This window comes from Homo sapiens, chromosome 6 (assembly GCF_000001405.40).
Source record: "Homo sapiens chromosome 6, GRCh38.p14 Primary Assembly".
In the NCBI taxonomy this organism is placed as follows: domain Eukaryota; kingdom Metazoa; phylum Chordata; class Mammalia; order Primates; family Hominidae; genus Homo; species Homo sapiens.
Window position 1 is genome coordinate 14,434,069 of NC_000006.12, and position 12,742 is coordinate 14,446,810.

Genomic DNA, 12,742 nt, shown 5'->3' on the forward strand with positions numbered 1-12,742 from the left:
GATATGGGCTCACTAAGCAGAGATTCTGTATTTAACATTATAGCTCAGGCCGTTCGAAAGGGCTCTAATTGTTTGTGCTATACTTTAGTTTGTTTGTTCCCTCCAAATCTCATGCTGAAATTTGATTCCCAGTGTTGGAGGTGGGGAACAGTAGGAGGTGTTGGATCAGGGGGCAGATCTCTCAGGAATGACTTGGTGCCATTCTTGCAAGAGTGAGTGAATTCTTGCTCTATTTGTTCCTACAAGAGCTGGTTGTTTAAAAGAGCTCAGTACCTCCCTCCCCACCACCTTCCTTTCTTGCCATGTGATCTGCACACACCAGCTCCCCTTCACCTTTTGCCATGACTGGAAGCAGCCTGTGGCCCTCACTAGATGCAGATGTTGGCATCATGCTTCTTGTACAGCCTGCAGAACCATGAACCAAAGAAGCCTCTTTTCTTTATAAAGTATCCAGTCTTAGATATTCCTTCATAGCAACACAAAGGGACTAAATTTGGTTGGTTGGCTGAAACATGGACCAAAAGGTGGGCAATATTGAGTGAGTTCAAAATGCTAGACTGCCTTGGTTTAATATAGAGGAAGAGATGCAAAGGCTTAGGGAGATTGAAATGTTAGAGAGGATTTGTCATTTAGTATCTTCCCCCTCACTCAGGGAGAGTCCAGAAGACATATTTTTCACCATGATTGTGAGACATAAATTTGTGATGGAATCCCTGGTACCCTTGAAAAACTCCGTGATCACTCTTCTGTGTAGGTGAGACTTTACAGTGGGATCTGCAGTCACTGAACTGGGAAACCTAAATGCAATGGAGTGATTGGATCCTAGGGTGGCAGGAGCCATGTGGCAGCTCTTAACCACCAAAGGCAAAGTGAGTGTGGTTACCTTAAGGGACAGTAGAGTCAAAGCAGCAATCAGAATAGCCTGGCTTCCACAGACCAATGGCATTAGCTAGTTGATCGTGATGTTTTCAGAAGTGAAACAGATAGAAAGCCTACTAAATTATTAATTGATCTGTGTAAACAGCAAAGTTCAAGTGAGCAAAAGTCTATCTTGAATCATAAAAGCAGGGAATCATGGCCCCTAAATGAATTCCCAGACTTAAGCCAGTTTACAGAGCCAGAACCCCTTGAATGAAGAGGAAGTTGGGCCCCCTTGATAAAGGACCGTGGTACACTGCCAATAATTTATACTGTTACTTTTTCCCCAAGCCTCCCCAAAGGGACCTATAGCCTTTTACCAGGGTAAATGTGCCTTGAGGAAAAGGAAGTAATCAGATATTCTGGGTACTACCAGACAAAGGCTCTGAACTGACATGGAATCTAGGAGACAGGAAACATCACTGTGGTCCACTAGCCAGAGTAGGGGCTTATGGAGGTAAGATGACTCATGGAGTTTTAGCTCAGGTCTTGTCCCAGTGACCAGTGGGTCTCAGAAGCTTTCTGTGGTTATTTCCCGAGTTCTGGAATGCATAATTGGAATAGATACACTCAGCAGCAGGCAGAATCCCCACATGGGTTACCTAAACTGTGGGATGAGGACTATTATGGTGGGAAGGGCCAAGAGGAAGCCACTAGAACTGCCCTTATGTAGGAAAATAGTAAGCCAAAGGCAATACTGCATCCCTGAAGGGATTTCAGAGATTAGTGACACCATCGGAGATTTGAAAAATGCAGGGGTGGTGATTTCCACCACATTCCCATTCATCTTGCCTATTTGACCTATGTAGAAGACAGTTGGATCTTGCAGAATGACAGTGAATTATCATAAGCTTAACCAGGTGGTGACTCTACTTGCAGCTGCTGTACCAGATGTGGTTTCATTGCTTGAGCAAATTAACATATACTCTGAAACCTGATATGCAACTATTGATCTGACGAATGCGTTTTTCTTCATATCTATCAATAAAGACTACCAACAGCAGTTTTCTTTCACTGCAAGGCCAGCAATACACATTTACTGTTCTATCTCAGGGGTATGTCAACTCTCTCCAGCACTATATTATAATCTAATTCATGAGGGTCTCAATCGCTTTCACAAGGTATTACGTTGGTCCATTTGATTGATGACATTATGTTGATTGGACCTAGTGAGCAAGAAGTAGTAACTACTTTAGACCTATTGGTAAGAAATTTGCATGTAAGAAGGTGGGAAATAAATCCAACAAGCTTCAGGGGCCTTCTCCTTAGTGAAAGTTTTAGGCATCCAACGTTGTGAAGCTTATTGAGATATCCCTTCTAAGGGAGGGCTAAGTTGTTTCATCTGGCCCCTCCTACAACCAAAAGAGAAGCACAATGCCTACTGGGCTTCTTCGGATTTTGGAGGCAACATATTCTTCATTTGGGTGTGTTACTGTGACCCAAAAAGCTGCTAATATCGAGTGGGCCCCAGAACAAGAGAAGACTCTGCAACAGGCCAGGCTGCTGTGCAAACTGCTCTGCTGCTTGGGCCATAAGATCCAGCAGGGCCAAGCAATGGTGCTTAGAGTGTCAGTGGCACATAGGGATGCTGTTTGGAGCTTTTGTCAGGCGTCTATGGGTGAACTGCAATGCAGGCCTTTGGATTTGGGAGCAAAGCCCTGCCAGTCTCCACAGATAACTACTCTCCTTTTGAGAAACAGCTTTTGGCCTGCTGCTGAGCCTTCGTAAAGACTAAATGCTTAACTATGGGTTACCCTGTTACCATGTAACCTGAGCTGCCCATCATGAACTGGGTGTTTTCTTACACAGCAAGTTATAACGTCAGTGTGCACAGAAGCATTCTATTCATCAAATGGAAGTGATTTGACTGATTGGGACTGAGCAGGCCCTGCAGGCACAAGTGAGTTACATGAAGAAGTGACACAGATGCCCATGGTTCCCACTTCTGCTACACTGCCTTATCTCTCCCAGTCTCATGGGGAGTTTCCTATGATCAGTAACAGAGGAAGAGAAGGCTCAGGCCTGGTTTACAGATGGTTCTGCACAATATGCAGGCACCACCTGAAGGTAGACAGCTGCAGCACTACTGCCCCTTTCTGGGACATCTCTGAAGGATGCTGGTGAAAGCAATTCCTCCCAGTGGACAGAACTTTGAGTAGTGCACCTTGTTGTTCACTTTGCTTGGAAAGAGAAATGGGTTGGCATTTGCTTATCCTCATTTATGAGCTGTGATCAATGGTTTGCCTGGATGGTCAGGGATGTAGAAGGAGCTCCATTGGAAAACTGGTGACAAAGAAATTTGGGGAAGACATATGTAGTTAGACCTCCCTGAATGGGGAAAAAAAAGTCAAGATAATTGTGTCCCATGTGAATGTTCACCAAAAGGTGACCTCAGTAGAGGAGGATTTTAATAGTCAAGTGGACAGAATGAACCGTTCTGTGGATACCAGTTAGCCTCTTTCCCCCGCCATCCCTGTCATCGCCCAGTAGGTTCATGAACCAAGTGGCCATTGTGACAGGGATGAAGATTATGCCTTGGCCCAGCAACATGGACTTCCCACTCACCAGTGCTGACCTGGCTATGGCCACTGCCAAGTGCCCAATCTGCCAGCCTCAGAGACCAGTGTTGAGCCCCTGATATGGCAGCATTCCCCAGATGATCAACCAGTTACCTGTTTGCAGGTTGATTACATTGGACCACTTCTATTAGGGAAGGGGCAGCATCTTGTCCTTAGCGAAAGAGATGCTTACTCTGGATATGAATTTGCCTTCCTTGCCTGCAGTGCTTCTGCCAAAACCACCATTCATGAACTCACAGAATGCCTTATCCACCCTCATGGTATTCCACACAGCATTGCTTTTGACCAAAGAACTCCACAGCAAATGAAGTGTGGCAGTGGGCTCCTGCTCACGGAATTCACTGGTCTTACCATGTTCCCCATCATCCCAAAGCAGCTGGCTTGATAAAACAGTGAAATGGCCTTTTGAAGACTCAGTCTAGTGCCAGCTAAGTGGCACTACCTTGCAGGGTTAGGACAAGGTTCTCTATAAGACTGTATATGCTCTGAATCAGCATTCAATTAATGATGCTGTTTCTCCTATAGCCAGAAACTCACAGGTCCAGGAATCAAGGGGTTGAAATAGGAGTTCTACCACTCACTGTTACTCCTGGTTACCCACTAGTAAATTTTGCTTTTTGTTCCCATGACTTCATGCTCTGCTGGCCCACGGGTCTTAGTTCCAGAGGAAAGAATGCTTCCACAGGGAGACATAGCAATGCTTCCACTGAACTGGAAGTCAAGACTGCCATGCAGCCATTTTGGACTCCGTATTCCTCTGAATCAACAGGCAAAGAAAGGAGTTACTGTGCTGGTTAGGGTGACTGAATCTGACTACCAAGGGGAAATTGGACTACTACTCCACAACAGAGGTAAGGAAGAGTATTTCTGGACTACAGGAGATCCCTTAGGACGCCTCTTAATATTACCAAGCCCTATGATTAAGGCCAATGGAAAACTGTAACAACCCACTCCAGGAAGGACAGTGGCTCAGACTCTTTGGAAATGAAGGTTTGTGACCAGCTGAGGCGCTTGTTGAAGGCAAGGGAAATACAGAATGGATAGTAAAAGAAAGAGGTTATAACCACCAGCTATGTCAACACGACCAGTTACAGAAATGAGGACTGTAATTGCCGAGTGTTCCCCCTTTTTTGTTGTGTGTGTGTGCACCTGCGATGCTGTTTCTATCATGAGGACCCTAAATCCCAGGCCATGAGTTTCACTTCAGAAGCAGGAGTGAAAAACACTAACAATACTACAACCCCTCAAATACCTCGCTCACCTTCCAGGGAACTTCTGAATTATTTTCAGTAGGAGACAAAAATTATTTTTTCATCATTGAATATCAAACTCGTGACAGATAAAAAGAAATACCAGTAGAGGAGAAATATCAAATACCTGGGAAAATGATTAGCTTACAAACCAATAAAACATACACATTGAAACAAGATTCAGTTTACACGATCAACTTAATTGAAAAAGACCCTAACACTTAAGTTGCTGGTTAGGTTGTGTAAAATATTTGAAAGCAATCAAAATTGATTAGCTTCTTTGATCAGCAATGTTAAATGCTTATTAAAAACCACAAAAACATTCACATCACTGATAACGTTGCTCAGCCAGTGACCACCAGAAACATACACACACCAAGCTGGGTTTAGTGCTTACAAGGAACCATAGAGTTGCTCAGTAGGAGCTTAGAAAGGACTTGTGGTAGGATTTTGGCTCATATTAGGTATTTAGGGGGAAGATTTAAGGAAGTGGGGCTTTGTTCTGGATTGGATGCTATCAGGAAGTGTGAGTAGTTCTATGAATAAATCTAATCTAGAAGGCGAAAAAAAACTAGAGCAAGGCTAAAGCTTAAAATGGGTAAGAAAGCTGTGGCAGTCATTCATTTATCCAGGATAGGAAGATGCCTGGGTCATTTTTGTGGTTTGTGTATTTGTCTGGATTCAGACACGATTGTGCGGTGGCCTTTTTCTTGTCCTGACCCTTCGTGGCCTCAGAGTGGCCTTATCTGATGTTAGAGTTCTGTGAAATTGTTTGTGTTCAGCAGGAGAACACATGGGCTAGCTGTGAGGGCCAGGCCTGCTCCTAATGTCAAAGGCTGCTTTTCTCTTCCTAACCTTTCAACCCCAACACTGTGTGTATTCGTCTACTTGGGCTACCATAACAAAATGCCACAGACGGGGAGGCTTAAACAACAGACATTGATTTTCTCACAGTTCTGGGGGCTGTAAGTCCAAGATCAAGGCATTGCAGATTTGATTTGTCCTGAGGCCTCTTTCCTTGGTTTGCAGATGGCCGCCTTCTCTCTGTGTCTTCCAGTGATCTTTCTTCTGTGTACATGGAGGAAGAGAGAGATCTCGGCTTTCTCTTTCTCTTTTTATAAGAACACCTGTCATATGGATTTAGGCTGCACCCTTATGACCTAATTTAACCTTAATTACCTCTCTAACATCTGTATCTCCAAATACAGGGGGTTAACACTTCAACATATGAATTTTGGCACAATTCAGTTCCCAGTACTGTGCATCGGTCCAAGATTTCTGGAGAGATCTTTCACAGAAGGTTAAAAAGAATGCACGTGTTGATGGTGGTATTACCTTCCATAGTAAAACTTAGAAATAGGCAAATATTTCACAAAGCAGAAAGGAAAAAGCAGGTGAAGGCTCAGCGAACAAATGGGCTTAGGGGTACTCAAATGGTAGTAGGGTGGTGGGTTAATTGGTAACTGTTTTTAATTATTCATTTTTTATGTTGCTATAATACTGCTTTTGCGGCAATAATCATGCAAATACCTATGGGAAAGTTGATAAAGAGACTTAAACTTTTTCTCCCTTTGGAGTAAGTGAAAGCTAGCAAGTGCTCTGTCAGCATGTTTTAGTGTACTTCTGTGGGAAACAATCAGAAGGGGGACCAACAGGGCACTGAAAGTGGGGAGGGACCCCATTGCAGCAGGAGCATCAGCAAAAGCCCAGAAAAGGACAGCTTGGGAAAAACCTGTCCAACACCCCACTTTCCTGATTTAGCCTACTGTGGGCTCTGCTGTATAGCCTGTGATGACCCAAATCATTTTCCAGATTCTGCCTTCAGAACTGAGCTGAGTCCTTGTGTGATGCTGCTGCAGTGCCCCCAAACAGATGGGAAGGAAGCATAATTGAAGAAATAATCCTCTATGCTGGCCCCACTCCCCGCCCCCGATGGAACTCTCACTCCATTAGAGCAAACATTCCCAGAGGTATAAGATGATGAATAAGAGATTCTTTTGTCTGGTTTTGTTACTGCCCTCATAACTATTCTTTTAGTTTTTTTTTTTTTTTTTTTTAACCTGGAAGAATTGCCCTCAACTTATGTAATAGGTGCAATAGACCCTTGATTTAGATTGTAGGTCTTGAAGTGCTCAGGAGCCCTAAGCATGTGGCCCATACCCATTTTAGGACAGATTGTTACGGCGGAGAGCATGCTGTAAACTTCATTGGCAAAGCGGAGTCCAGCGCTACTATCTGGGCCAAATCTATTTATAGGATCAAGTCTCCAATCTCTCAAAACAACCAATTTCCCCTAATCTTTATGGTGAGCCTAAGTGCCGGCACAAGCCCCATAACCCCGAACCACTCAGACCTCCCCACAATGCTGTCCTCCCACCCCACTCTGTCACGCGGGGTCCTCTGGAGGTTAAAAGAATTTATTTTGAAATGAAATGGCAACTGGAAAAAGCTTTTATTTTCATATGGGAAAAACCTCATGAAACATTTTTCTCTTGATTAGTGTTCATAACAGCAGCCTGGAATGCTTTCTGCAACCAATTTGTAGATGTTCTTATAAAACAGATCTCTCTTCTTGATGTGATTTTTTTATCCCCCTGCACATTTGTTCTGCTTAAACCTTTCAGCACATTTGTTAACTTGAGTGACATCTAAAAAAATCACCACCCCATTAATGCGGACTCATCCAGTCCATGGGCTGTGCATCGCTCCTTTAATTGGGATGGCTTGGTTCCCTCCCAGATGTTCCCTCTCAGCAGATACCATTGTGTTTTGAAACTTTGGATAATTATAGCTCTGTAAACGTAGAGGAGATTTGTTGGCTCCAGCCAGCTCCTGCTCCTAATGTAACAGCTTCATTGTTCAGTAATCGCCCTATTCACAAAGCAAAGGGATCCGTGTCAGCAAAGACATCTATTCAAAGCACCTTCCCTGTGCTGGATAAACAGTGGCAGAAGCAGTCTACTGAGCGACAAAAACACTCACAGGGGACTAGGCCACAAGTTTGACCAGGGCTGCTTTTCGCTTCTCAAATGGGACCATTCTTCAGAAATGTCTTCACCTTTTCTTTTGCAACCAATCAGCCTGCAGGCAGAGTCTTTTGCTTTGCTGGTGAAATCCCCGCTAAATGCTAAAAAAAAAAATTTGTGGGAAAATTTTGTGGGAAACTCTCTGCAGCGTAGAAATGAGGCAAAGGGGCCGAGATGAGATGCCAACCAGTGGGGAGTGGTCCACACATGCTGTCACCAAGGAGGACAGGGGAAAGATAAATGTCCCTAAGCTGTCTTCTAGGAAAGATCCAGAACAATTTCTGGGAGTGCTGTGGGAGAGAGTCAACAGTGGCCACACAATGTAGGAAGAGGTAGAGAGGTTCTTTGATTCTTTTGAGAATGTTCGCTGGAGTTTAGACCCTGAGTTTTCTAGCCAGTGGGAGCCCAGTGAATATGAGAGCCCAGATTTCTCTGGCTCTTGCGTACACCCGCTAATGCAGGAGCACGCACTCTCGGAAAATTCCTCCGTCCTGTGCTGGTGTTTCTGAAACTCCCTGGGAAATCTACTTAGAGGGTAAAGAGCTTGAGCCAAGCATAACTGACTTGCACTTAGATTCACGGCGGACCTAAGAGCCTAGCGCTACCCTGTCATCATACTGAAGGCTCTCAGCAAACCACGCAGTCTACACATGCCACTTTGCGACTTCCTCATTTCTCCTAGATCTGGTCCTGACCCTGCGGGCATCAGGAGGGCAAGCCAGGATCTTGGGAGGGGGCAGAGATGAACAAGAGAAAAAGCAGGGAGATTTTAAAAATAATTGCCATAAGTGGTGTAAGTATAGAATATCCCGTGTGTGTATACCTATATAAATATATATTATATAGGTATACATAAATCATATGTGTATGTATATATACCTATATAATATATATTTACATGTGTATATGCATGCATATATGTATTAAAGGGATGACAGCTTTGGCATAAAGGTTGTTTAGAGGTGAGAATATTTAAAATCTTATCTGAACTTTCCTTATCTGACTAACACAGAGTCTTTCAAAAATACAGGCTGCTATTAACCCTGCTCTGAGGGGCTTTCCTGCGAATTCCAGGAAGTGGACAAATTGTCCCTTCCCATTGGCACAAAGAAAAACGCACTGCACCTTACACATTTTCCCATCGAATCCCTAAATTCCTGCTGCTCCCTTTTTTGTTATATTGGTACAATTCGAGCATCCTTAATCCAAAATCCAAACTGCTCTAAAACTCAGAAAGTTTTTGAGCACTGAGAGGATGCCACAAGTGGAAAATTCCAGACACATATACGAAAGGACACAAACTTTGTTTATGTGCAAAATTCTCTTTAAAACTGTATGAAGTTATCATCAGTCTATGGGTATAAGTTGCATGGAAAACATAAATGAATTTTGTGTTTAGACATAGGGCCTGAGATTCCCAAGATCTCATTACGCGTATGCAAACATTCCAAAATCTGAAAAAATCCAAAATCTGAAACACTTCTAAGTCCCAAGCATTTCAAATAAGGGATATTCAACCTGTATAGAAACCTTCACCACTGGGTATTCAGTGAGTTACTCATTAGTGACGTCAAATGCATGCGTAAATAAATCTTCTCTTTTCTTCTGCTAATCTGTCTATTGCCAGTTAATCTGCAGGCCCCCAAGCATTCCAAACTAATTGAATAGACGAAAAGTCTTCCTCCCAATAGTTAATATATATATATGAACACACATGCATACACATATGTGTATATTCTGTGGACAGTTCCTACAGGTTATAGACCAGGAAATATTCTGGCCACCTGTCCCAGGGGTACCTTTGTCTCCCCCATATCCCAACACACAGTTGCAAACCACCGCTCAGAGTGGGTCTCTCTCCATCGGGGTCTGCTTCTGTCAGGTGGGCATCAGCTGTGCCCATCCAGTCTGCTGGGCACTCACATCTTCCAGCTGAGGCCCATGGCCCTCCAGTCACCAGAGCCACTGAGCTGCCTATTGTTGACAGGAAGGAGGGAGGGGGCCTCTGTTCCTCTGTGTGATTTTCTGTTGGAGATATTTTTTTAAAGCATTCAAGCTTATGCACTAATGTTTTCTAGGGCTTTAATGGAACGCCATTTCTATTGTTTTGTTTTCTTTCCCTTTAAAAAGCTCCCCTTCTCCCCATGGGAATTACACCTGCATCCACCAGGGCCCCACGGGGGAACCATCCCTTGTTCAGAGCCTACCAGCTCCCTCAGGCCTCTGCTCTGGTCCTGTTAGTGCTATTTCCCCAGCATCAGAACACTGTGCAGCACCTGGCCCAGGCCCTATCCACAATTCTAAAATCCCCAAACCTCTGAAAACACAAAAATTTTTATAAACACCTTGGTGGCAAAACATGAAGTGAAGTAAGGTGGCATTTATCCCACTTAGTGTGAATATTCATACATTTGGCTGAGACAGGACTGTGGAAATACCGTGTTTGATTTGCAAAGTGTTGCCTCCAACCCCTCTAGGGATGTTATATAATATTTGGTTTATGCACATTGCCTTTCTCAAATCTGAAAATTTCTGAGTTCTAAAACACATCTGGCCTCAAGGGCTTCTGATATGTGCTTGTGGACTTAGGCACATGTCAATAAATACGTGCTGAATGCACTTCTGAACTCCTCCTTCTTTCCCACCTCCAGGGCTTTGTTACAGGGTCAACTTCTCGATGCTTGGCTCCTTCCTGTCTGATAAGAACCATCCCTCAGCCTTCAGACAAACAGGTGTTAAGTATCTTTTCCTCATCTATCCTAGGCTTGTGGCTTAGATCCCTCTAACACAAGACAAATTAACAAGGGTAAAACATACACATTTCTTTAATATAAGTTTTACATGACATGGAAACTTCAAAAATGAAGACCCACCCCCCAAACAGAGAAACCTGTGTATTTTCATGCTCAGGTTTGATGAAAGTGTGATTGGACAAAGGGAGTATGATGTCATGGTAATAAATGGGGGGGAACTTAGCAAGGTCTGTTTGTCCATATTCTTCGTGGTGTTTCTGTGTCTTCCTTCCTTTTCTCTGGGAGTAAGGAGGGCACTTGTCACATGAGGTCTTATGACCTGCTTCAAGGTAGAAGGGAGAATACATGTAAAAGTGAACTTCCTGCTTCTGTGCTTTTCCCAAATGCCAAGTTGCTATATTTTAAGGTAGCGTGTCCTGAACCCCATCACAGGCTTTTGGTAGGCCTGCCCAGGTTCAGTATGACCACTGGGGGTGATCCACACGTGAACCAAAGCCAGATCCCAACTACACATGGGAGTTTCCTAAAAAGAAATCCACCCTTAACATCATATTAGGAAAAAATAAGATCGAATATTTTCAGATCTGAGCAGGCATTCAGGTCTACTCAGCAGAAAAAATTTTTTTGAAGAAATGTAATCTAGTAGCAGTCATTTATAGACATCCTGAATACAGACATTTATCCACACTCCAGTCACACCGAATCAGTTTCAGATGGGAGTTCTAGAATCCTCTTATTAGTATTATTTTAATCTTTCTCTCTTTTTCCTCCTCACTCTTCTGCCCAAGGTCCGGAGTCTAGTCTCCTTGTATCCCAGAGGGACGTGGTTAGGTTTATTCTGCAGCTGAAGAAGCTCATGCTTCAGGGCCTGTCACTAACTGAAGCCTCTTCCAAGCCCTGCACCTCCTTTTGTATTTGAATTTATGAGTTCTACTCCTTCAAAATGACCTCCCGAGTTAATTACGCTCTAGATCACACAAAACATGACCCCTCCCCTGGGAGATGACAGGTATTGCTGGTCCCAAAGGGAAACCATGGGTAGCTCCCTGTAGTCTTTTCCCATCTTCAGGATGGAGCATCTATAAGACAACCCTTCCTCATGTTAATAATGATGGATTTCTCACTGCATAACTTGGATATTTCATGCTAAAATACTCCCCCACTTCCAGGAATCAGAGGCCTAAGAAAGGGAAAGTCTATACACCTCCCTGAGATAGGGATTTTTACCTCTCATTCGTAGATAAGAACAATGATGCTCAAAGAGCTTGACAAGTCATTTATCTAAGATCATGCAGCTGGTAAGAGATCCAGTCAGAATTTGAACCCAGGTCCTAAACTCCTAAACTGGTGTTTCTTATTTTATCCTGTGTTCCTAATTCATCAGAGGCAACCATTTGAAGAAAGAAATAATCTGGATCCTTCGTTTCAGAGTTAGGTAACTGAACATGCACTTGAGCCTTACAGAGTAACCTAGCCCCAATAGTGCCAACATTTTTAGTGAACACAAAGATAAGTTTTGAGGCTTTCTCCCCTTGAGTTTTGAGGCTGCTTTCTCCCCTTTCACTTTTTTTTTATACCAATGTATGTTTCAGCAGGAAACGTATAGGATAAAATCCTTATACTTCAGGTGCTGATGTGCTTAAGCCACTTAACACTTTTTGGCTTAATTTTTTTAAGAGGGCTTTATGACTTGGAGCTAGAGCAATCCTAACGTGTCTGTGTGACGAACATGCTAATATTTGTGCTAACGGCAGGGTGCAAAATCCAGAAAGGCCAATGACATGGGGCTGAGAGGCAGGACCTTCTTGTCACCCCTGTGTGACATAAGGGTTTCAACAAGGTGGGCTTCCAGGAGTTGATCCAGTGGGGAGTGCAATGCAGAGGTGACAAGGAAGGGACACTCTATGAGTTTATAGGAGCTGTCATAACAAAGTACCACCAACTGAGAGGCTTCAAAAAACAGAAATTTATGGTCTCATAGTTCTGGAGGCTGGAAATCCAAGATCAAGATGTTGGCAGGACCATGCTCCCTCTGAAGGCACCAGGGAAGGATCTAATGTTCCAGGCCTCTCTCCTAGTTTCTGATAGTTCCTTGGCTTGTGGAAGCATGAATCGAACTTTCACATGGTGTTTTTCCTCTGTGTGTGTGTCTGTGTCTAAATTTTTTCTTTTTATTTATTTTTTTTTTGAGACAGAGTCTCACTCATTGTCGCCCA

General features: G+C 43.5%; 2 long non-coding RNA genes across 8 annotated transcripts in view, besides 1 other annotated feature; one reads left to right on the forward strand and one right to left on the reverse strand.

The window, feature by feature from the left end:
• Window positions 1-12,742, reverse strand: part of LOC105374942 (uncharacterized) — a 41,263-nt gene that overhangs the window by 13,395 nt on the left and 15,126 nt on the right. The window lies entirely within an intron of this gene.
• Window positions 1-12,742, forward strand: part of LOC101928331 (uncharacterized) — an 84,318-nt gene that overhangs the window by 2,289 nt on the left and 69,287 nt on the right. The gene's annotated exons all lie outside the window — the stretch shown is intronic.
• Window positions 7,348-8,046: an enhancer, noted in NCBI's record as "NANOG-H3K27ac hESC enhancer chr6:14441647-14442345 (GRCh37/hg19 assembly coordinates)". NCBI's record gives its function as "activates a minimal SCP1, AML or CMV promoter by ChIP-STARR-seq in naive H9 embryonic stem cells {active_cell/tissue: H9 hESC(naive)}" and the evidence as "EXISTENCE:reporter gene assay evidence [ECO:0000049][PMID:30033119]".